General features: G+C 36.9%; 1 protein-coding gene across 2 annotated transcripts in view, besides 1 other annotated feature; it reads left to right on the top strand.

Annotated features, from left to right (window-relative positions):
• The window catches only part of MLLT3 (MLLT3 super elongation complex subunit), a 280,831-nt gene that overhangs the window by 46,721 nt on the left and 209,062 nt on the right, over nucleotides 1-25,048 (top strand). The window lies entirely within an intron of this gene.
• Nucleotides 23,833-23,892: an enhancer, noted in NCBI's record as "active region_28227". NCBI's record gives its function as "activates an Ori minimal core promoter by ATAC-STARR-seq in GM12878 lymphoblastoid cells {active_cell/tissue: GM12878}" and the evidence as "EXISTENCE:reporter gene assay evidence [ECO:0000049][PMID:35858748]".

Below are 25,048 nucleotides of genomic sequence, written 5' to 3'. Positions count from 1 at the left end.
ATAAATGGAACAACAAAGCCTGGATGACAGCACATCTACTTACAATATCTGCTTGCCACACTGAATATTTTAAGTCCACTATTGAGACCTACTGCTCAGAAAAAAAGATTTCTTTCAAAATATTACTGCTCATTGACAATGCACCTCATCACCCAAGAGCTCGATGGAGATACACGAGGAAATTACTGTAGTTATTATGCCTGGTGACACAGCATCTATTCTGCAGTCTGTGGGTCAGGGAGTAATTTTGACATTCAAGTTTTGTTATTTAAGAAATTCATTATGAATGTATACATTATAAATGCACAGGAAATAAAAATTTTGCACAAACCTTAAAAAATTTAATTTTAAAAATGCTTTATTGCTAAAAAAATTGCTAATGATCATCTGGGTCTTCTGCGAGTTGTATCTGTAATTTTGACATTCAAGCCTGCTATCTATGGCTATAGCTGCCATAGATAGTAATTTCTCTGGTGGATCTGGGTAAAGTAAACTGGAAACCTTCTGGAAAAGGTTCACTATTCTAGATACTATTAAGAACATTTGTGATTCATTGGAGGAGGTCAGAACATTAACACGAATAGGAGTTTGGAAGAATTTTTTCCCAGCCCTCATGGATGACTTTGAAAGGTTGAAGACTTCCGTGGAGGAAGTCACTAAAAATGTGGTGGAAAGAGAAGTAGAATTGGAAGTGGAACCTGAATATGTGACTGAATTGCTGCAATCTCATGATAAAATTTGAACAGATGAGGAGTTGCTTCTTATGGAAGAGCCAAGCAAGTGATTTCTTGAGATGGAAACCATTCCTGGTGAAGACGCTTTGAACATTGTTGAAATGACAACAAAGGATTTAGAACATTACATATAACGTGGTTGATCAAGTGACGGCAGGGTTTGAGATAATTGACTTCAGCTTTGAATGAAGTTCTACTGTGGTAAAATGCTATCAAACGGCATCACATGCTACAGAGAAATCTTTTGTGAAAGGAAGAGTCAATCCATGCAGCAAACTTTATTGTTGTCATATTTCCAGAAGTTGCCACAGCCACCTTAACCTTCATCACCCACCACCCTGATTAGTCAGCAGCCATCAACATCCAGGCAGGACCCTCCACTAGCAAAATGAGGGGATGGATGTGGCAGATACAACTTGCAGAAGACCCAGATGATCATTAGCATTTTTTTAAGCAATAAAGCATTTTTAAAATTAAGGTCTATGCATTATTTTTAAGACATAATGCTATTGCATACTCAATAGACTATGGTATAGTGTAAATGTAACTCTTAAATTCACTCAGAAACCCAAAAAATTGTGTGATTTTCTTTATTGTGGTATTCACTTTATTTCAGTCATTTGCAATGAACTTGCAATATCTCATAGGTATGATTGTACTTTACACCATAGTGACTTTTCACAGAACTTTTGTTCTTTAAAATGTGTGGTATAAATCAAATAACTGGAAAATTCAGACAGTGGAATTAGGTTCCTTTGAACATGATTCATTCTTCTTTTATTGTGTCTCTAAGTGTTTGTCATGTTTCTTTTTTATTGGTATAAAGCAGTGGGTCTCTTAATTGTGATTTGCAGTTAGTCCGGGCATTATCACCTAGGAACTTGTTAGAAATGCAAATTATTGGACATTATCTTGAACTTACTGAATCAGAGACCCTGGATGTAGTGTCCAGAACCCGGCAATCTGCATTTTAACAAGCCCTATAGGTGATTTTGATTTTCAAGTTTAAGAACTTTGATATGAAGTGATTTACTATTCTCCTTAATAGGAGTAACCAGTCACCAGTTCTTCTATTTCTATACTTTCTCAAACCCAAAAAATGAAACCAAACAGCAAAAATGCAACAGAATTTTATTTTTGAGCAAGTAACTTGATCTGTCTTGTACCTCAGTTTCTCACCTGTAAGATGGAAAAATTTATAGTTTTGGGTTTTGATGAGGATTAAATGCAATAGATGGTTTATGTAATGTGCAAAGAACAGCTCAATAATTAGTTACTGTTAACACTGTTTTTATTATGTTCCAGTTTTTCAAAGCCTTTTTGGAGGTAGCAACATGATTCCATTTTACCAAGGGGAGACGTATACCCAACCTGGTTTGGTTTTAGTTCTCTTAAATTGCTTCAGATCTTATAATTCAGACATCTTTTAACTTATTAAAGCTTTTTAACATCTACTTTAAACATTAACTTTATTTGCATTTTCTTTAACTTTTCTGGTCTTCATTCATTTCCATTTTAGTTTTTTATTTGTATTATGTCTTAGTGGTTTTTAAAATCTTCCTCGTGGCTGGCCACAGTGGTTCATGCCTGTAATCCCAGCACTTTGGGAGGCTGAGGTGGGTGGATTCCTTGAGCTTAGGAGTTCGAGACTAGTCTGGGCAACATGGTGAAACCCATCTTTATGAAAAATACAGAAAATTAGCCAGGCACAGTGGCATGTGCCTATAGTTCCAGCTATTTGTGGGGCCGAGGCAGGAGGATCACTTCAGCCCTGGAATTTGAGGTTGCAGTGAGCAGTAATTTCGCCACTACACTCAGCCTGGGTGACCAAGTGAGACTGTCTCAAAAAAAAAAAACAAAACAAAAAAAAACAAACAAAAACAGGAACAAAAACAAAACACAACAGCGAAAAAAAAAAAAAGTTCTCCTGTTGTGATAGTTTTACTTTGACCTAGTTTTCAAACTTGGTGGGAGATATGAAAGTATCAACAGGTGAATAAACCAAATGATTTCATTAAGTCTCCTAGTCAGTAATCTGGAGGTACTTCATTTTATATGCAAGTGTATAATTTTTTGAAGGAGAAACTATATCTATGGATGGAGAAAACACATCTTTGAGCAAGGAGAGGTTTTCTAATTTTAGTTTTCTTTCAACTAATAAAAAGGTAGTTCAGAAATTTTCTGTTTCTAGACCTAATTAACTGAGAAATCTGGATGTTACTGTTTACTTATTTATATATTATTATTTTTTGAGGTGGAGTCTTGCTCCATTGCCCAGGCTGGAGTGCAGTGGTGCAATCTCGGCTCACTGCAATCTCTGCCTCCAGGGTTCAAGCAATCCTTCCGCCTCCACCTCCCAAGCAGCTGGGGTTACAGGCGCCTGCCATCACATCCAGCTAATTTTTATATTTTTAGTAGAGATGGGGTTTCACGATTTTGGCCAGGCTGGCCTCGAATCCCTGACCTCAAGTGATTCGCCTGCCTCGGCCTTCCAAAGTGCTGGGATTACAGGCGTGAGCCACCATGCCTGGCCTAATATTTTGTATTAATATATAAATAAATAACAAACTATATATTTTTGGAGTATAATGTGATATTTTGAGAGCTTTATAGATTGTGGAATGACTAAATCAAGCTAATTAACATATCCAACACCTCACATACCATTTTGAGATGGCAAGAACATTTAATATCTACTCTCTCAGCAATTTTGAAATATACCGTATATTATTATTAACCGTGGTCAGCTTCCTATTTGATCTCCAGAACTTATTCCTTCCATTTAACTGCAGCTTTGTGCCCTTTGGCCAACATCTCCCCATTCCTCCACCCCTCTGTCCCTGCCCCTGGTAACCACCATTCCACTCTCTACCTCTGTGAGTTTGACTTTTTAGATTCCACATACAAGTGGGATTATGCAGTGTCTTTTCATGTCTGGTTTATTTCACTTAGCATAACGTCCTCTAGGTTCATCCATGTGTCTCTTTGACATACTGATTTCATTTCCTTTGGATATGTACCCAGAAGTGAAATTGGTGGATCATGTGATTGTTTTATTTTTAATGTTTTGAGGAACTTCCATACTGTTTTCCAAAATGGCTATACTAATGTACATTCCCACCAACAGTGTGCAAGGATTTCCTTTTCTCCACATCTTTGCCAATACTTGTTATCTTTTGTTCTCTTGACAAAAACTGTTCTAACAGAAGTGAAATGATATCTTATTGTGGTTTTAATTTGCATTTCCACAATGATTAGTGATGTTGAGCATTTTTTTCACATACCTGTTGGCCATTTGTTTTGTCTTTTAGAATGTCTTTTCAGGTCCTTTGCCCATTTTAAAATCAGGTTGTTTTCTGCATGTTCTCACTCATAAGTAGGAGTTGAACAATGAAAACACATGGACCCGGGATGGGGAACATCACACACCAGGGCCTGTCTGGGGGTGGGAGGCTAGGGGAGGGATAGCATTAGGAGAAATACCTAATGTAGAAGATGGGTTGATGGGTGCAGCAAACCACCATGGCACGTGTATACCTATGTAACAAACCTGCATGTTCTGCACATGTATCCCAGAACTTAAAGTATAGTAAAAAAATACATAAAATCAGGTTTTTTTTATTGTTATTGAATTGAGTTGCTTATATATTTCAGATATTATGCTCTTATTACATGTAGGTTTTGCAAATATTTTCTCCTATTAATAGGTCATCACTTCACTGTGTTGTTTGTGTGTGTGTGTGCATGTGCTTGTGCACACTATGCAGAAGTTTAGTTTGAGGCAATCCCATTGTGTAGTTTTGCTTTTGTTGCAGTTAAAAGGTTTTTGTTGGAAAGTTAAAAGCTTTTGTTGGAAGTTATAAGCTCACCTGCAGCATTATATGAAAATAAATCTTTGTTTCCCAAGGAATGATATGTATATGTGTGAGTACACGTGGTGGTCCTTGTTTTTTTCTGTGTGTAACTAAGCCACTGTGTGCTTTTCTATACTACAAAGACATGTCTTCTATTTTCAGTGAGTGATAAAGCCTAGAGTTTTACTCATGGCTTCTTAATTTTGTATGAAATACAGTTTAGCAATTGTGTAGTTAGTTTACAAAGTCTAGGTATGACTCATCTTCAGGCTATGGCTTTTTCAAGTTATGCTTAAAGGTCAGAATCTATTTAGTTCTTAACCCTGCCTTTTCTAAGTGGGAAGTTAGAGTCAAAAAAAGTAAGAAAATATGGAATTTGTTGGGACTTAATCCAGACCTATAGGTTTCTTATTTTATTGGGTTGCTTTTTAAAGAAGAACAATCGGTATTGCTAGGAATTTCCAGAATTTCTAAGTAATTTGAAAGTTAATCGTTTAACAGTGTTCATAAAAGTTGGACCTTTGGATTTTTGATTTTGCTTAAATGTTTGGTTCTGACAAATACAAAAATTGGTAAGGTTCACAATTCATTTTCTACTCATGTCATAAATGTACATATGTCTAAATCTGTTTTGTTGTTATAGACATTCCAGAAATCTCATTTAAACAAAAATAGTTTGATGTAAGTAGCTTAAGAAATTGTTAAAACTGTGATACATGTAGGAGAAATAATTTCCATGTTTGTTAGAAAGTGTAGTGTTTATGTTTAGCCATATTAATTTTAGTTTCATTTCTCTTAAGTGTTAGTGAATAACCTTGAAAAAACACAGTACTTTGACTCTGCTGTTGTTGTTTATTACTACCATGCTAGTAATGCTGACGGAAGAAAATTAAGATTCTATGACTTGATTCTTTGGAATTCTGACTGTTGTCACTGTATAAATAAAACAATCTCTGGCTGCTCATGCAGTTTTTGTCCCTTACAATATAATATCCTGGCATTTTTCATACTCTATTTTCAAAGCCAAGGTCTAGAATTTTAAGTGGGAAATTGGCTCTGAAATAATCAAATGCCAAACAAAGCCCATCTGAAAGTCCAATAAAGTAAAATTATAGTAATTGCAAAATAGCGTTACTGAGCTAAATCCCCACAGTTTGAGGATCTTTCATTTATAGAATAGATGCTGTTGTGTTGTCAGAGTGGAGGGAATGTAGTTTGGGCCAGCTGGGGGCAAATGAGGAGCCAACGGTTCATTTTTCTGCTAGGGTTATTGGAGGAGAAAGGATGTTTGCAGGTACAGACCACAGCGCATTAGGTGGGGAAGAAGACTTTACTGAGCTTCTGCTTCACATTGAGTGTCAAGCACTGAGCTTTACGTATACATAGGTATGTTAGCTCCACTAAACAGGGACTGAAATAGCTAAGAGATGACGTGCCCAAAGTCATAGAACTTGTGAGTGGAGAAACTGGGATTTGGAATGGTCTCTTCACTCCAAACCTTTAGAACTGGGTGTTCTAAATACCAAGGACACCGCTGAGTTTTCCCTAGTGCTTGTTTGCTGAAGTTTTATTATAGGTTGTCGTCATTGGCTTGTGTACTTTTTGAAATATCAAGCATATTATAAGTATGTTGTAGTAGATTTCTGTGTAGTCTTTCTAACAGCTCTGAGACTTTGAAAAGTCTTGGGACATCTTGGTGACTGTTTTGTGGGGTGTTAATTGGGGAGTGTAGATAGATGATTGCTATTATTGCTATAACTGTTTTTAAAGAGGGAATGAGCCTAGATTTCAAGGTACAACATTGGGTAATGGTGTGTGCAGTAACCCATGGAGGCTTTCTGGGTCTCGAAAACAGTTTTTGCCTACTAGCAGGTATCTGGAGCAGGTTACCTGGTTTCTCCGAGTCTCAGTTTTTATAAAATGGGAACGATAAGAGTTCCTTTAGTGTGTATGTGAATAAGACCATGGGAGGCACATAAGTAAGCATTCTGTAAATGCTGGCTGCTGTTGTTGATCTTATTGAGGCTTATGGAACTTTTCATTCTTCTTGATGTATTCCTTTTACAATCATTTGTTCCCCTTGGTCGTGAGCATGGACAGGAGGGGTGTAAGTGTTACCCTCACATAGGGTTACGTTGGAACCTGAGGCTCTGGATAGTTTTCCTTTGGGAATTTTTTGAAGTAGATGAATTATTATCTTTGTGTTTGGGAATTTTCTCTCCTATTTTTTTTCTCTGAGACATCTTAAAGACAAAGATGTGATTCTTAAATTCTTGGAATCCCTACTCCAACCCCACTCTATTTTTACTCTCTCAACCTCAATGTCTTTATTTCTGAAATGAAGGTAATAACTTCCTCTCAGGACTGTAGTGAGGATTAGATGTAAATACAGACAAGTTTTTTGTACATAACAAGGACTTAATCAACATTAGCTGAAAGGGGAAATAAACCTTGTTAAACAGATGATATTTTCCTTCAGGAAAAGAAATTAACTTGTCTTACTTTCTGTTGGGATATTTTTGTCAGATTCTTTTCATTCTATACTTGTTACATCCTCACTGGAAACTTTGTTTATATGGATTTTTGGGTGTGTACCCCTCAGGGGACTGTAGTTTTCTCTTAAGCTTGGATCTTGCTACAGCTTGGTTTGCTTGTATTAGAATGGCTTCTAAAGGCATCCAGAAGTATTTTGTAGAATCATTATGCTAGTTATAAATATTTTCTGAACATAAAGTAATATGATTCTTGTCAAAAAGCATACTGAATAAAATTATCCATAATCCCTCCATTAAGAGGTATTAGCATTTTATTTTAAGTTTTCAGTCCTTCCTCCCCAGCCTTGTATTATGGAAATTTAAAAATATTCAGAAAAGTAGAGAGAATAGTATAATTCTCTGTGTATTCAGTACTCAGCCTCAATAATTATTAACTCACAATCTTGTGTCATCAATACCACCATCTAAGCCTCCTTTCCTCCCTCTCTCCGACTGAATTTATTTTGAAGTCAGTCCTAGACATCAAATCTTTTAATCTATAAATATCTCAGTGGCGGATGCTTTTAAAATGTTACGTATCACAGTTTCTAACACACATACACACACCCCTCTTTTACTTTATTTATGAGTACTTATTTCTGTCACCATATTCTTCTTAACTAAGGTTTATTAATTGGGAATTATTGAATAGCCACAGAACATGGACTCCAAGTCAACATCTTAATTGTTCCTGAAGGCAGCTGTAGGTGGCGGGGATGGAGGTAAGTATTTTGGTGAGTGGGGTGGAGGGTAAGAGAGAAGAGTTCTTGAAACATGGGCCTTTCTCTTTTTTAAACCCCTTGCTCCCCAGTGGAATGAAGACCTGTTAGTTTCAGGGTTAGAAGCCAAGTGTTAGTGTATGTAGCCCTTCTTGACTCTGAGCCAAAAACCTGTTTGGTTAATGTATAAATCAATTTGTTCATTTCAAAATATACATTATTGTTGGACATGTACCCTGTGTCTTGGTCACTGGGACCATTCTATAAATCTGGGTAATGATAATATAGTCAGGGCTGTTGACCAAGTTGTGGAAAGTTTCTTGTGCCAAATCTTGCAGTTACGCTTTCTTGGAACCCTGGCAAGGAAAAGGAGAACTGTGATGATAAGCCAAATTAAATGAAATTTCAATGTTCAAATCTGAAGATTTACTAAAACAGAGTTTGACATAGAAGAGTTTCCTGTGCCATTTTATGTTTAGGCTCACTATAGCTTGGGGTGGCTATCAGTTGGTGGCTTGATTGCAACAGCAAGGCTAATAACCTTTTAAAAAAGTTAAAGAATTTATACTTCTATATTGAGTTGCATATTAATTGGTTAAATCGTTTGTGTTTTTTTTTTTTTTTTTTTTTTTTACTGAATATAGTACTACTTTCAGCTCTTCTTTTGGTTATAGAAACACGTTTAATTTAGATTCTTGGAGAAAAGGGACCCAGCCTAATTTTAATTTTTTCAGCCCTACTTTTTTTTTTTTTTTTTGACTTTGAGTGATAACATTTCCTCTTGTGCTTTTGGTTGCATCCTGAAGTTTCTGCATTTTTTCTAAAATGAGTTATAAATATTCAAACACAATTCAGACCCACTTTCTAATCCATAAATGATCTATTCTGAGGTTGATACCCTGAGAATCCTATATGCGGTTGCTGGACGGTGCCTTTAAGACAGTTAATAAGACTGCCCTTGAGATCAGGGACATAGCAGAATCCTAATGGATCTCCCTCTTTGGTCAGTTGCTTTGAGTATTATTATTATTTTTTAAAGATGGATATGCTGCTATTCCTCCGTATCCTTGTGCTGGCTAACCAGTGATCATTTGGTGTACCACCTGGAGCCCTAGGTTCAGATGCCCTCTACCCTTTTTCCTCCTTCTTAATCTCAGATGAGCATGGGCACAAGCATATGTAAGGACACAGACATGTGTTTCTCCTTGTTTCTGAAGTCCCCAGAAGACCTGCTTCTCTGTGGCTTTAACCGTTTGATTATTTCTTGAGTAAATATTTATTGAGCAACTATTTGTATCAGCAGGGTGCCAGGTACTGGATGCACAGGTGAATAGGGCATTTCTTGCTCTTATAGAGTGCACAGTCTGTTAGATATGCTAGATCTGTAAACTGATAAGCATGTATACGTGTTTAAGTATATAAATCAGGCTGGAAGGATACATAACAAATGGTTAGCAGGGATTGGAGGGAGAGGAGAGGACTCTGTTTTAACTGAATATGCCTACGTATTGTTTGAACTTGTCCTAAGCGTGTATTGTTCATGCAATTAAAAAGAACATGCATTGTGATAGGTACAATAAGTGTTTATTTTGTTAGGGGGCAGAAGGGTCCTTCACATCCCCTCTTCTTTTTTTTGAGATGGAGTCTCACTCTGTAGACTTGGTAGAAACTGGGTTTCACCATGTTGGCCAGGGTGGTCTCAAACTCCTGACCTCAAGTGATCCACCTGCCTCAGCCTCCCAAAGTGCTGGGATTACAGGCATGAGCCACTATGCTCAGCCCAAAAAGTGTTTAAAAATACAGTGGGAAAGTGGTTAATTCCATGTGATGAAAGTACACTTTATATATATATTTATATATATATATACACAAATATATATATAAATATATATATAAATAAATAAATATAAATAAATATATATAAAAATATATATATAAATAAATATATAAATAAATATATATATATATAAATATATATATATAAATATATATATATATAAATATATATATATATAAATATATATATATTTTTTCCTTGAGTAGGAGGAAGGAGGAAGTGAGGATATAGAGAGTGGACTTTTTCTGAAGAGGGACTAGAATGTGCCCACGATGGACAGAGTAGCTTTTTATGTTCAGGGTTTTGGTAGTGACTAGCTTATCTAGTCTAGGTCTCAGGGCACCACAGCTTTTCTTTCCTTGGGGGTGGAGAGGTAAAATGCAATCATATTTTCTTTGGGGATTTGGAATATATTAGTTTCAATATATTTAATATTTTTGAAAAGGTACCGTAATTCGTGGTTAGGTTTTCAGTGAACCTGGGCATGTTTTAAAAACTCATGGTATAGATAACTGTAGACTTGGACTGTGACTAACTTTGTTTCAATGGGAATATTAAGTTGAATTACCTAGCAGTGTGTATTAGATTATGAGAGTGGGGAGGACAGTACTTATAGCAGTGGTTCTATAAAGAAAGTGAACAATTAGGTCCTTGGGTCCACTGGGCTACTCTAGAAGTTTTCCTTTTTGGGCAGTGAGTTGGTAAGTTATTCGCAGTGTGCGCACCCCACCAAGAGCACAGTTGCATTACAGCTCACTGTGTTTTCCTCATCCCTCCCAACTCCTTAGCCCAAACTGTTCTAAGTGTAGCTGATAACCTAGCGGAACCGAAGCTTTGTGCATTGTACAGTTTGATCAGTAACACACTTACAGAAGATAATCTTGTCAATTGTAAACAAATACTCAGTGGGGCATCCTTTTATTCCTCCAATTGGTGGGAGAAAACTAAATACTGAGAAAAAAAAAAAACATATCAGTCAGTAAACCAGAGATTTTACCTAATATATGTGGAATAAAGCAGTTAATTCCTTGATTCTCTGTATATGCCAGTACTATAGTGATATCATATTTGAAAGATTCCAGTGTGTTTTAATTCTCTAACTTTTTACAGATAAATGGAAGACGTGTAAGCTGAGTTTAATGTAGAAACCAGTCATATTAAGTGCTACCCATACCGTGTGGTATTTCTCCCCTGACTACAAAACATTTGCCTTGTGGAAGAATGGATGGCTCAAGGGATTAGTGATGGGGAAGTGGAGGTTTTCACATTGGTTCAGATTTGACCTTGGTCAGTGATGCTTGAAAATCAGCACTATTTAATAGGCATTAAGAGAGCCCACTTTTTGATCCACTTCCAGTGGATAAATATCCATAGTTCTTTAATGCCATAGTTGCGGAACTAATTGGCAGAATTAAATGATTTAAGAACTTTACTCCCCTTTTGCCCTCAGAAAATAGTTGGTTGTTGTTTAAATCAGAATCTTGGAAAATGCATGAGTTGTTTCTGAGGACCTGAGACTATAGCTAGCTTTGCAGCTTTTACTGTATTGGGAAGCTTATGTACTTTGAATTACTTTTAGTAGGTGAGGCTGGAGAACGCAAAGGCTATTTTTTCTTTTAGTTTGCAATTTTGCCAAATTCGAGGCTTGCTCATCTGATCCTAGACACACTTAAAAACATACAGGAGTCATTTATTTCCAGAGATTCATTCTTCTTTTCTCCATGATCAAATAAAGGGAGTGTAAGAGCCATCTCTTTTCTAAGTCTCCTCATTTTCCCTCCCCTGGAAGAATTTCAAGTGCATGAAACTTTTCTGACACCCTGCTTCTGATTGATATGATGGACTTCTGCAGTGTGGCTTAAGTGAAGTTAGTAGTGTTTTACATTTTACACTGAGTAACTGCCAGTCTTGATCACTCTGTATTTATAGAGCATCCAGGGAAGGGTATGCACTCAGGGATGATATATTACCTGCTAATTTGTTTGCTGAAAGATAGGCCCGTATATTTAGAATGATGACAGATTAGAATATTTGGCTAAGTGTATTAGTCAGTGTCTCATTTTTCAAAACATGAAAACTCCAGCATGCTGCTCTAAAAATGCTGTGCTGGAGATGGATTTTACTTGCCAAATGGATTTCTATCCTGACTAGATTCACTTGCTTATTTATTTATTTTTAAAAGTCATCTTTTGTTATATCCTAAGTTGGATAATGAAAACTTGTGGCTGATTCTTTTTCTTCTTTTACAGATTCTGTTTGTCATTCCTGCAACTCACTTTCCTTTTTCTTATTATAGCAGTGTTGGACGCCAACGTCTTTCCCACATAAAGAAGGTCAAGTACAGAAATCTGTAGGTCTGACTACTCTTTGTTCTGTCTGTCTGTGGCCAAGAGGTATAGACAAGGCCTTCACTGAAGGATAAAGGGAAAAAAACAATGGGCTTTCTAACCCAGCTGAGAGGCTTTAGGATTGTAAGAGAAATTAAAAGCACCATCCAGGAAGGCAGAAAAGCAGTATTTATGCTTAGCAGGTAGAGATGCTGCTTGTTCCAGATGTCTCTGTGGACCTTTATGGAGCTGTTCTCTCCTTGTGCACATAAGGGAATCTGGAAATGTATTTAGCCTGGTTTGTCTGAATAGACTGTCAACAAAAAGAAAAGGAAAAGGCTGTTTCAATTATTATTTGTCAAATATATGACACCCCTCCCTACCCAGCAGGGACCTGGCTTTAGGACGGTAAGATTAGATAGTGAATAAAAGGTATTCTTAGTTCACCTGTTATAGCAAGTGATCTTTAAAAAAAAAAGTGTTTTAGATATTAGCAGATCAGATTCCAGGTAAACCCATTAATGTTGTTCCTCCACGACATGTTACTGATTTTCCCAGGACTGTGCTTGTAATCCATATGTTTTAAAGATATTTATGTCTGGAGTTGATCAGAGCTTCAGGGATAAATTTTTTCCTTTGAATTCTGCCTAGTGTGCTTCTTGGAAACTTTCCCCAGCATGTCTGACAGCTCTGATAGGTTACTGTGCTTCTTAGCTCTTAGCTCCAGGTTTATGAGATCTAAGCTAGCAAGCCAGCAGGGCTGTGAGCTGTGACTGGATGGGAATGGGGGACGGTAGGTGTTCCTAGAAGGTGTTTCATTGGGTACAGTATAAGTAAAATAAAGACAAAATGCAAAGAATGCTCTGGGACCTAGTGTTTTTGAGATTTCACAACTCTGATTAGTTAAGACTTGAAGCCAGTCTTAACTACTGTATCACCTGTTATACTACACAAAGTATTAGGGAAACACTTTCATTTTTCTGGTCTTACCAGGCAGAAAGATAGGCAGGGCTACTGAGCCTCTTATTCTTAAGAATAGTGTCTTCTCTTAGGAAATCAAAATGATAAATTATTTCTACCTGGTCATCCCCTAAAAACACTTAATGTATAAAATTGCACATGTATCTGGGAAATGATTCTTCTGCCATTAAACATATTTACTCCTTTTTTTCTTGTCACTCTTTTTTTGCATTTGCAGTTTCTTTTATTACACTTTTGAATTTGCTTAACCAAATTGTCTCTGAAATTATCTTTGCTGGTGCTAAGGGTCCATTGGTGGGTTGTTTATATTTATGAAGTAGTTTATTAAAATCTGTTAGTGTCATAGATCAAATTTTAAATTCCTTTACATGTTACTTTTGAGGTGCAAAGCTAGAAGTGTAAATTATTTCTAAACTTTTTTTTTTGGTGAGGATTGCATGAATGATGGTGGTGGTAGAGGTAGTGGTGGGAGTGGAAACAGCGATAGCAGAATTCAACCGCATTTTTAATTACTGTCATGGTATATTTTTGCTTTTGGTTCTGTGTAGCCAATGGCTGGAAACTTATAGTGATTGTGAAACTAGTATTACTATGGAAGCTACTGAGTCACTTAGTATAATAGCCCTTTTCACAAGCATAACTTGCATTACATGGTAAATGTTGACATGCATGGCTTTATATATCTCCTCAGTATAAATGGGATTAAATAAAGCATGAAAATATGACATAAAATATTTATAGAAAGATAATATTTAAATTATTGTGTCTGAGGTTAGGCTTAGGATTCTCTCCATCTCCCCTTGGTGATGTCCTTACTTCTGTTCCCTAATCTCTGCCCCCCCACCCCTCAAACCCAAACAAACCAAAACCCCAAAACTCTACATTCTTCAAAAGGATCAGAGAAAGTTAATTATAGTGATACGCAGCGAGTAGGACAATCATAGCTGTTGGTCTGTCCCAAAGCCTACAGAGGGTTCTTATTTCATAAGCAGAGATAATTTGTTTTTCTCTGTGTGCCATATGGTTTTGCAACTGCAGAGATCAAACAGATTTGTGGATGTAAACTTCAGTTCTGTACTTAAAAAACTTTGAGTCGTGTGGAGATTTTCATAATGTGCTTGAATCATTGATGCCAACCAGGTCTGTTGGAGTCAAGGATCTCTTGTCAGTTCTGTAAGCAACCATGTGTGGTGGTTTTTATTTGCCTTGGACTTTAAAGACAACTTTGGAAAGGAAACTTGGACACAGATTGTCAACTGGAATGCAATGATTGTCTTTTGCTATAAGGACGATGATTAAAACCAGCAATCATTAGCATAGAAGGATAATAGTTCTGAGGCTGCCCAGGTGGTCTCTGGAAAAGATTGGAGTTTTTTCTTAATCAGAAAAGTTTTAATTACACGAATTTATTTTGGGATTAATTATTTTGGGGATAGTCTTCAGAATGAAGAGTTTGAGTATCTTGATTGCTATTTTTAAAATGAGAAAAAAATGTAAGTGTGCCAATGATTTCCCTCATTTTTTGTCTATATATATAGTGCTCTGTCCTGCTGGTCTCAGTGTATATAATTTTTAATACAGTGCTCCATTGATCTAAAGTAGATACATGTTAACTAGAGAAATAAAATGCATGTGCTTGTGCACACACGCGTGTGTGTGCGTGCATGCATGTGTAACCTGGAGAAAAGTACAGGAGGCAGCACACACACACACAAAATAAAGTAGATACATGTTCCCTGGTCCCTTTGCTTTTCAGTTATAACATTTAACAGTATACCTAAATTATCTAAACTGTCTCAATTTATAGATATAACATTTGATAGTGTCTAATATTTCAAATATTTCGAGGTAGCTAGAAGAGAGGATTTGAAATGTTACCAATACGTAGAAATGATAAGCATGCAAGGTGATGACACCCCAAATTCCCTGACTTGATTGTTACACAATCTGTATGTGTAAAAAATACTCACATGTACCCCATAAATATGTAAAATATTATGTATCAATGAAAGAAAAATAATAAAAATAGAATAAAAAATTTTTTAATAAGAGTGTAAGGCTATCCTCTCTGCATAGAATGCTGTCTCCTGTTAGCCCACAATGCTCCCCGCCCACAATCCTTAAAATCTTAGATGAAATGTTATTCCCTGAGGACCTTCACACCCAGCTTCTTCTACTATTAGGTTTTCGGGCACACCCTATATCTACTTCTTTTGTGCATCAACATCACGTTTGTAAAAATTCTTTAATTTTGGCTTACTCCCTTGCTGTTTATCTAGCTCCAAAGAGCAGGAACTGTTTGTCTTGTTTTTGCTCTTTTCCCCAACTCATGGCTCATAATGGGTGCTCAGTAAATATGTGTTGAATGAATGACAGTATAGTTGGTATAAATCATGCTTATTTAGTATGTAAGATATAATATGTTTTCTTTTGCTAATTTTCGTATACATCATCTTTCAAAATAGTAGTTGTGGCTTTTTGCCTCCTTCTTTTAAAAATGACTACATACCTTCTGTTTGCATGTATTGAAGGGATCTGGTGTCTGGGTATCCAGATGTTATTTCTGATTTTTTTTTCTTCACTTTAACTTATGCATGGCAGCTATTATTTTGCTATTTCCCAGGCTTATAATTCCAGAACCCTCAGCAGGAATAAGCAGACAGTAATGAATTTCTATGTCAACTTCACAATATGTTTCATTTTTGTTGGTACAGAAAACAACACCTGAGACTGCTTGAAAAGTACAGGTTTATAGTGTGAGCTTTTAGGAATCATGTTATCCAAGTCTCCCTTATTTTATATCTGAAGAAACCAGTGGCACAGAGAATGTATCTGGTGTTGCCCAAAGTAAAATGACTAGTCTGGTTTGTGTTTACGTAGGGTTAAGAACATAGTCACTTGCTTCTGTGTTAGTACTCTTGCTGCTACAAAATCCTTGTATTTGTCAGAAAGTCAGTCTTTCTTTTTACCAAAACTATGTTGTGCATATTGAACATTCAGGAGTGACTATTCCATAAAATATGTATTTTATGCTCTCTCAGGCAGTGGTGATAACAGGTACACAACATTTGACAGCACAGAGTAATTTATCCTACATGACTCAGGTGGAGGAGGCACTCAAATTAAAGGATGCCATGTGATGCATTTCAAAGGGGTGAAGTGATTTGGCCAAAGGCTCTGCCATAGTAAAATTGGTCACCATGCCTCTGCCTACCCCTGCAAAAGGCATTGGCTTTGAAATAAATATCCCCATATAATAAACTCAGCAACTTATCAGATAAGTTAATGTGGAGTGCCAAAATAAAGAGAAGTTTTATTCTTCCGGAGTGCTATTCTTACCCTTTGCACTGGTGTAAAATGCCCCCACCCCTCTGCTTTCACAAAAACAGCTTGGAAACTGGAATGGCAACTTGAACACCACTTACTTTAACCAGTTAACAAAAGCTTTGTTTATTTTATGTTTCCTTTTAATAGCAAAAGTTAAAAGTGTCTCAGCTTTTAAAAGTACTCATACATATGTTTTGCAAAGGAGTATCCTTTGCTCTCTTTAGGAACACAAATATTCCAAAATACTTATATCAGTATTTTAAAATGGAATCGTATTATAAAGTATAACTTTACTTTTATATAAAATTATTTTTAGTAAAAACAAATTAGCAAAACTGCTCAGTGAATGATTCCCGAGAGACCATATCCCATGAAGCCCCATTTTCCTGCTACAGGGTTCCTGGGCCATAAAGGTGGACCTGGAACAGGATAAAACAACCATTGTGCTACAGTCTACCCTCATCATTCAGCCTTTTAGTGAAAAAGACAAGCAGCCGTCAGGGTGATTCAGACCCTTCACCAGGACTGTGACTAAGCTATGAGAAAGATGCTCTCCCCTTCCTTTCTGTTTGTAATGCTGGCAAGTTTCAAATCCGAAACAGTTTGTAGTCATGGTCCCAGTCTTGTGGAAACAGAGCTTGCTGATGCAAATGATGCCAACAGTTTCTCATAGTGGGCAAAGTAAGTATGAATTGCATTTGCTAAGTGATATTCCAGGGATGTCCTTCAGGCAGTGGTCATAAAACTACAGTGTACTTAAGAATTCCCTGGGGGTTTGTTTAAAAATGCAGATTCTTGATCTCTACCCCAGACTGAGTCAGCCTCTCTAGGGGTCCAGGAATCTGTATTTCACACAAATATCTCAGCTGAGTTTAATGCTTTTGGGTGCTGTTGAATTGATAAGAGCCTATTCTTCAACTTGGCAGCTGAGGATGTGATGCTGGCTTGCATTTAGGCACAAGTGAGGTTTAGGTTTATTGCAATGAAAAAGTTATATTGCAGTTCGGGTTGGAAAGATGCTTCCTGGTTGGGTGCAGTGGCTCACGTCTGTAATCACAGCACTTTGGGAGGCTGAGGCAGGCAGGCAGGCAGATCACTTGAGGTTAGGCACTTGAGATCAGCCTGGCCAACATGGTGAAACCCTGTCTCTACCAAAACAAAAACAAAAACAAAAAATAATTGCTTCTGAAGGCCAAATATGGGGCTGCGTTTATTAGGGCAAATCATTTGTTAAAAAGAAACATTCTTTCCTGAAGATATGATTTTGGGGATGGTTGTTGTAGTGGTCGCTGAAATCAATGGTTCTGTGTTCATACACCTGCCAGCCCATGTTCTCCAGAGCTGCTGTTTAGTACTGTCCTTGGCTTCCTTCTTGCAGCCTCTTTTTCTGTTTTCAACCAACTGTAAAAAGTGAACTACAGCCAACTGTAGGCCTGAACAACTGGAGAGGAGAGGAATAGGCAGTGATGTCTGTATCAATCGTCTATCCAGTTATTTTTTGGTTTTCTTTGGTTATCAATATAGGTTATCCCCCTCTAATTATTTTCCATGTATTGTCTCTTGATTCAAGATAAGGAATGAATGAAGCCCTGGGAATAGAAAGTGTGACCTTCTCCCAGCAGTTTCTTCCCAGGACTTGCCCTCTCCCGGTACTTTTTGCCACTAGATTTTTCTGTTTCTGAAACAGGGTAGAATTACTCGCTAATTAAAATACCTTTGCTAGTGTTTCTCTTCCTTAACCCCAGTTGATTTACACAGAGTTTTTATGGACCGTATTATATTCTCACTAGTGCCTTTCTCTAGGAAGGGACTAATGGGGTTCATAGATATTCTTGTTTGTTTCTTGCAAGTAAGCAGTGCCCTGAAATAGGTGAGGAAGTAGCAATTTATAAAGATGTGGGCTAGTGTCTACACAGTAAAAATCTGGACCAGGTGTGGTGATAGTCACTGTAGTAGAAATTTTGGTGGGGGCAATAACGATGATGTGGCAAAAACTGTCAAGCAGGGCTTTAAAGGTTTTAGCTATATTAATTCATTCAGTTTACAACACCCCCATCAGGTAATGTTGATTATAATTCCCATTTTAAAGATGAGGAAATTGGACCACAGAGAGATTAATTGGCTTAAACTAGTAAATTGTAGAGGCAGATTTTGAAACCAGGTAACCTGCTACCACATTCCATGCCCTCAACCCCACTACCCCACTATGTTATTCTGCTCTCCTACCAAATTAGCAGTTCACAGCACCTGACCAAAAGCCCCTGCTTAAGGAAGAATGGTGGAATTTGAGGAGGACTGGGTCTGTTTTCTTGGTGGTATGAACAGGGGCCAGGAGGTGGGAAAGTGCAAAGCTTGTGGAGGAAATGATGTTCCTGAGACTCCAACTGCAGGTGCAAACCGAGGAGCTGTTGTTAGTTAAAGACTGGAACAGTAGGTTGCGTTCTTCTTCTGAATCGTAGTCATTGAGTGCAGACCGACTGCTACTGGTATAGCTCCATGGTCTTCAAATCTTGTGCTGATTGCATACGTTGTCATTATAACTTAGGTTGTTTCAAAATACGTAATTTGGGGCATATTGTAAAAATTGGCTTTTAAAAATAGGCCTTTTACATAATATACTTAAGTAGAGCTGATGAAAAATCTAACATTGTCATACCAGCCACCATTCATTAAAAAAATCAGTGAACAAGCTCTTTAATTGGAAACTTATCTCTCCCTGTTTACTTGAACTCTTTTGTTATCTTATTTCTCCCCCAACTTTTATTTATTTATTTATTTATTTTGAGATGGAGTTTTGCTCTTTCGCCCAGGCTGGAGTGCAGTGGTGCGATCTCGGATCACTGCAACCTCCTACTCTTGGGTTCAAGGGATTTTTCTGGCTCAGCCTCCTGAGTAGCTGGGATTACAGGTGCCCGCCACCACGGCTGGCTAATTTTTATGTTTTTAGTAGAGATGGGGTTTCACCTTGTTGGCCAGGCTGGTCTCGAACTCCTTACCTTGTGATCCGCCCACCTCGGCCTCTCAAAGTGCCGAGATTACAGGTTTGAGCCACTGCGCCTGGCCTTCTCCCCCACTTTTTATTCTAATATAATACATGTTCATGTTTTAGAGTCTTTTATGGATTATCATGTCATACTTATGTAATAAAAATATATCAATACTGAAAATTAAAAATATCCTATGCCTCAAGGATTATTTAATCCAGAAGTAATTGTATAAATATTTCCATTTGTGGAATGGAGTTGATCAAAATAACATGATTATATTACAAATTCTGATAAATGATTGATAAAAAATAAAAATATTTCTGTTTATACATTCATCTATTGCATATATACAGGTGTTTTATTCTTTATAAATTCGTTTATTACTAGATGAGAAAAGATTTGGCATCATTTTTATTTTCCCTTTTTCTTTTCTGTGTAAGATGCAGGCACTGAAAAAACTTGTCAAAAATGAAAAAGGGAGTATTATAGCAGTGCCAGTCAATTGTTTGGAGTTTTTCTGAAGTTATATGGCAAAACTCACACAGTAATCTCATCAGAACTTATTTTTAATGATTTGTTGGCAGATGGCTTAAAGAATGGATGCTCCTGTAATTTTGTTTGAAGCAATCCAACTTGCAAAAGCATTTTGTTCCCTTTTAGACGTCTAGAAATGTTTCTTATTTATTTATTTGCATCAAGACCAGTTTGCTTCTAGTGGGTCTCCTCCTTGTTGCCTGGGAGGTTTTATAATCGTGGGCAGTGTGCCTAGTGAGATGAGGGGAGGGTGGTGGCTGAGAGGTATGCCCACTTTAGGAAGTGAGAGGCAGTTAGGAAAGAGAAGGGAAATTCTCAGGCATATTATTTTACAAGGAAGTTGAAGATGGAGAGATAGTTGTTTTCCTTTAGAGTTTTCATGTGCCCTAAATGTTATACATAGCCCGGTTTAAAGACCATCAGTGTAGAATGTAGTAGAGTAGTGAGATTTTAAGTTTTATGTTTTCTCAGCTTTATGGGTTCAAGAACTCAGTTGCAGCCTGGGTCTGGTGGCTCACGCCTGTAATCCTAGGACTTTGGGTGGGAGAACTGTTTGAACCCAGGAGTTCAAGACCACCCTGGGCAACATGGTGAGACGCTGTCTCTATTAAAAAAAAATAGAACTCAGTTTCAGCTCTAAAAATTTAGGTTGGAGGCTAATACTTACAGAGGAAACTGTGTTTTCAACCAAAATGCTATTTCCGGCATGAAAATAAACCAGAGAATCCAGTGTAAGATTAGGTTAAGATGATTTGTGGGGTCAGTTAGATGACCTTCAGGAGGAGTGCTATCTGAAGACTCGTCTGGCCACCCTGGGGAAGGGGATGATTGGGAGTGGCCACCACCATATGCTTTATCATATTTGTTTAGCTTCACGAAACACTTCTTAATTCGACACCAGCTGACTACTTGGTCTAGTTGTAGTTAATTAATTAGAAAGGAATAATTAAAATTAAGATTAAAATTATTGTTTCTTACAGACTTAAATTCTCTTTCCACCGTTCATTAGGCAGTTATTAATTTAGCCACTTCCGTTTGAGTATCTGCAAAGTAGTTAATTTAGTTTTTCAAAAGTAGTCATTTTTCACCCTCATTTTATTGGTTAACAAAATAATAAATTACTTAAGTACAAGAGCAAATGGTCAAGAACAAAAGCAAAAAGCCAGGTTTCGGAACAAACAAGATGCCTTGTACTAAGTATATTATGGGAGAGGTACTTAATAGCTATATACATTTGCTCTTTGGAGGGTGTCACCCATGTATTTTACAGAGGGAAAGTAGGTATCCTTGTCAGATTGAGAGGTAAGTGAAGTCAGTTAAAAGTTTAAAGTATATATAATCAGCTTTGTTTTGCTGAACTTTGTTTTATTGAGAGTTTTGTGCAATTTATAATATTGTTTCATTGATTTTCTTTCTTATTGCATCTTATATGGACTGTTGTAACATTCTGTGAGTATATTTTGTTCATGTCATCCATTTTTGGTGTTCAGTAATTTTAAAAATGAATTTTAAGTAGGGACAGGAGCTTGAATATGTAATTTGGTTTTATGTACCAGAAGATCCATCAGAAACTGAGTAGCCAAACTTGTAACAACCTGTATTGGTGCATATTCTGCCAGACTATGAATTTTCTTAAGTAATAGAGAACAGAGGTCTTTAAAAAATTGTGAACTGAGATTTTTTTAAAGGTGAAATGAAAGCAGTACTGTACAGGAAATTAAGTTTTTGGGTAAGGAAGTGGAATTGGTTTGATTGAAATTGTTAATGTCTCTTTAATGAGGGGTTATATGAAAAATGTTAGGCAGAAAGTGTGATCCAGTTAAAAATCCTAAATATGAAATTGATTCAGTTTGAACAAACAGTATTTGGAACTGAACAGAGAGGAAAAGGAAAATTCTTATGTGGAAGAAACTAGTCATTATCAAGGGTATGAAAAGCTGCTGGACCATTACAATTGATTTGCTTTTCTCTAAAGAGAAATACCTGACTCAGAGATTTGTGATTTTAGTATGTGAAGTTTTCCTCAAATTAGTATTTAGTATTCTGGGAACATTTTCTTTTGCCAGGAGGGTTGTGATTGTCTATTTTTGTGAATTGTAAATTAAAAAAAAAAAAGCTGTTTATTTTTTGTCTTGTACAGGCAAGGAAAGTTTCTAATGTAGTTATAAAAACTTAGTTACATATTCAAGCTCCTGTTGTTTCCTGTCTTCTAGATCTGTAAGATAAGAATGTCTAAAAGGTCAAGTAATTTGACCAGCCTTTTGGGGGAAGTCCAGTGAATAGTAGAATAATATTTAGAGATGAATTTTCTGTCATAGGCATGGGATAAACTCTATTTCAGTAGAAAGGCAAGATAATGAGCAGGATCTTATATAGACAAATCGTTCATTCCAAACATGCTGGCTCTAGGAGGTGTTCAGTGTGTTTGTTGAATGAGTGTTACAGATGAATTGAGGTCAGATGGAATTGAGGTCAGATTTCTCCATGAGTGGAGGGATTTTTTTTCTCTCATGTCCTGGGCACCTAACACCATGCCTGGCACATGCTTGTCAGCTGTCCTTTGTTGAATCTGCGAATAAATGTGAGGCCGACTCAACAACTATTACCTCCTTGTGGATATGCATATAAGCTCTTCTAGAGTATTTTGGGGGAAGAAATAACCAGAATGTCTGCCCTCTCTTCTTCCTTTGTGAAACTGTTTTCTACAGTTACATTTAGTGTCGAGAAATGAGGGCTTTTTTGTTTTGTTTTAAGTGGCTTTTAAAGTTGCTCCAAGATTCATGAGGTTAAAGTATAAAACTTTAATACTTTAGAAAAATAAGGACTTAATTCTGGATTCTGACCTCTGGTGGTGAAGAAGAAACACCTATTACTCATAATAAAAGATCAGATTCTCATATGTTCTGTAGTACTTTCTGGATGTCCAATGTAGGGAAAGTCTTAATTAGAAAAATACAAATTTTGTATGTGGTTTTGAATTTTCATGAGACAAAAATTTTATTTTTTTACCTTGCAACTTTTTGATAAGCATATAAAAAACATTTAGGTTGTACCTTTACAAGGCTCATTACTGAAAGTGGTTTTTTATTTGGGACCTTGCCTGATGAGAAAAAGTAGATTCTACGTGGGATTTTTATATGGTAATACTAGTCTTATATTTGACTTCTTAAACTTTCTATTAAAACTATTTCCTAAGTAAATCTAAGGTTTATTTGGATAACAGTTATATTGTTATCAAGAAAAACATGAATGTATTACTTGGGAGGAATGTCAAGGTAGATTATTTTGGGTCCTTAAAAATAAACTGCTTATCAGAAACTCAAAACTCGTCTTTATTATCACACCTATCACTGGGCTCATAGGTTCTGTTCTCGCCTCTTCTGCTCTCAAACCGTCTATTCTGCCCCAACAACAACAACAACGATAACAACAACAAACTGGGAAGGAGATGTTCTAGCAGCTAGAGTCTAGCTGCTAGTGGTGCCGCATGTGATGAGCTGATTCTGCTCACACGAGTGATGTCAGCCTTAATTAAAAAACAAAAACTTGAATTTTGGTGGCTGAGGAAATTAAAAGGGTAGATGGAACACTTGCTACCTTGCACCTGAACTCTACCTTGTATCTACTGGGTGGTCTTTTGCAAGTGACTTAACCTTATTTTTGGTGTGTGTTAAATAGGATTACGAATGCTTCCATTTCTAAAGTGTAAGAAGGCTCTGATGTGAGTGTAAAGTTCTTTGCAAACAAGACTCCAAGTAATAAAATCCTAAAAACATCTTTGCTACTGTTGCTCACTGTCCTCTGCCAATATGCTTCTGAGAATTGATCAGAGCTTTATAAAAGGAAAGTGGTTACAGTATGTCAGGAAGCAAAACCCGTGAGAAATAAGTAATCCATAAACTTTACAGTCATAAAGGGATCCGGGTGGGTGGATCTGATGACTTGGCAACTCAGAGAGGGAAGCAAGTGTAATTGTTGATTTTATCAGAGCAGGTTTGTGTATTTGTTTGTGCACGTAGGGGGATGGGGGTTGAATGAAGACTTAACAACATGAATTTCGTGAGGTTACAAAAGTCTACTGCTGCATAAATCGTAGGTAATATGTTCATGTCTATAGGGTGTAATGTTAATGTTCAATAAAAATTAATATCAAAGTCTGTCATAGATTTTATGTTTTGGGGCCTCCAGGTAAATGGTTTGTATCATCATTGGGAATTTATGGAAGTTGATTTAAGTATACAGTAGTTAGCACTCTATTAAATACTGAAGTCATGCACTGTGTCACCTTGATCAATGAGCAAGTTTTTTTTTCTTTTCTGATTCTGGAATTTCAGCACTTTCAGCTTTGAAGGTTGCCTTGGGTTTGTTTTTGAATTAAAAGTGTCACAGGAGAAAGGCTGATTGTTACATTCATGACCAATCAGAAGGGTCTGTAGGACTCAAAATGTTTGGTACATTCCTTAAATTAGAAGATATGCTTCTGGACTTTTCCCAGGGAAAGCAGGTCCATGTAATAATTTACCAAAAGGAAGTTGGGAAAATGAAACATCACCTTTTGTGAGAAAGAGGATGGGGTGGGGAGAGTGCTTTAAAGTGATCTTTGCTTTGTGGAATGCATTGGATTAAAGAGTCACAGAGGCCACAAAAAGCAGCTCAGTGAGTTATCAAATATAGGAGTACTTGAGAAATTAAACCAGGTATGTTATTATTCTTTCTTGGGGAGCCTAAAAATAAACTCAAGGATTGGGATTGTTCCTTTTACTTTCATATCTGCTGGCTGCTAAAGGCAATTGGAAATTTTAGCCAACATATTGACCTACTTGATTTTCACGATGAGTATTTTTTTCCTCAGCCGAATTGGCCATTTAAAGAAAACTTTGTGGCTGGGTGCTGTGGCCCACGCCTGTAATCCCAGTCTTTGGAAGGCTAAGGTGGGAGGATTACTTGAGGCCAGGAGTTTGAGACTAGCCTGGTTAATGTAGTGAGACCCCATTTCTACCAAGAAAAAAATGAAAAAAATTTAGCTGGGCATGATGGCACATGCCTGTAGTCCTAGCTACTTGGGAAGCTGAGGTGGGAGGATTGCTTGAGCCCAGGAGGTTGTAGTTATAGTGAGCTATGATCATGCCACTGCAGTCCAGCCTGGACAACAGAGTGAGACCCTGTCTCTTAAAAAACTAAATAAATAAAATAAATAAGACTTTGTAACATATT

This window comes from Homo sapiens, chromosome 9 (assembly GCF_000001405.40).
Source record: "Homo sapiens chromosome 9, GRCh38.p14 Primary Assembly".
Classification (NCBI taxonomy): Eukaryota; Metazoa; Chordata; class Mammalia; order Primates; family Hominidae; genus Homo; species Homo sapiens.
Note: the sequence above shows the minus strand (reverse complement) of the source record. Positions and strands in the feature narration are given on the sequence as shown.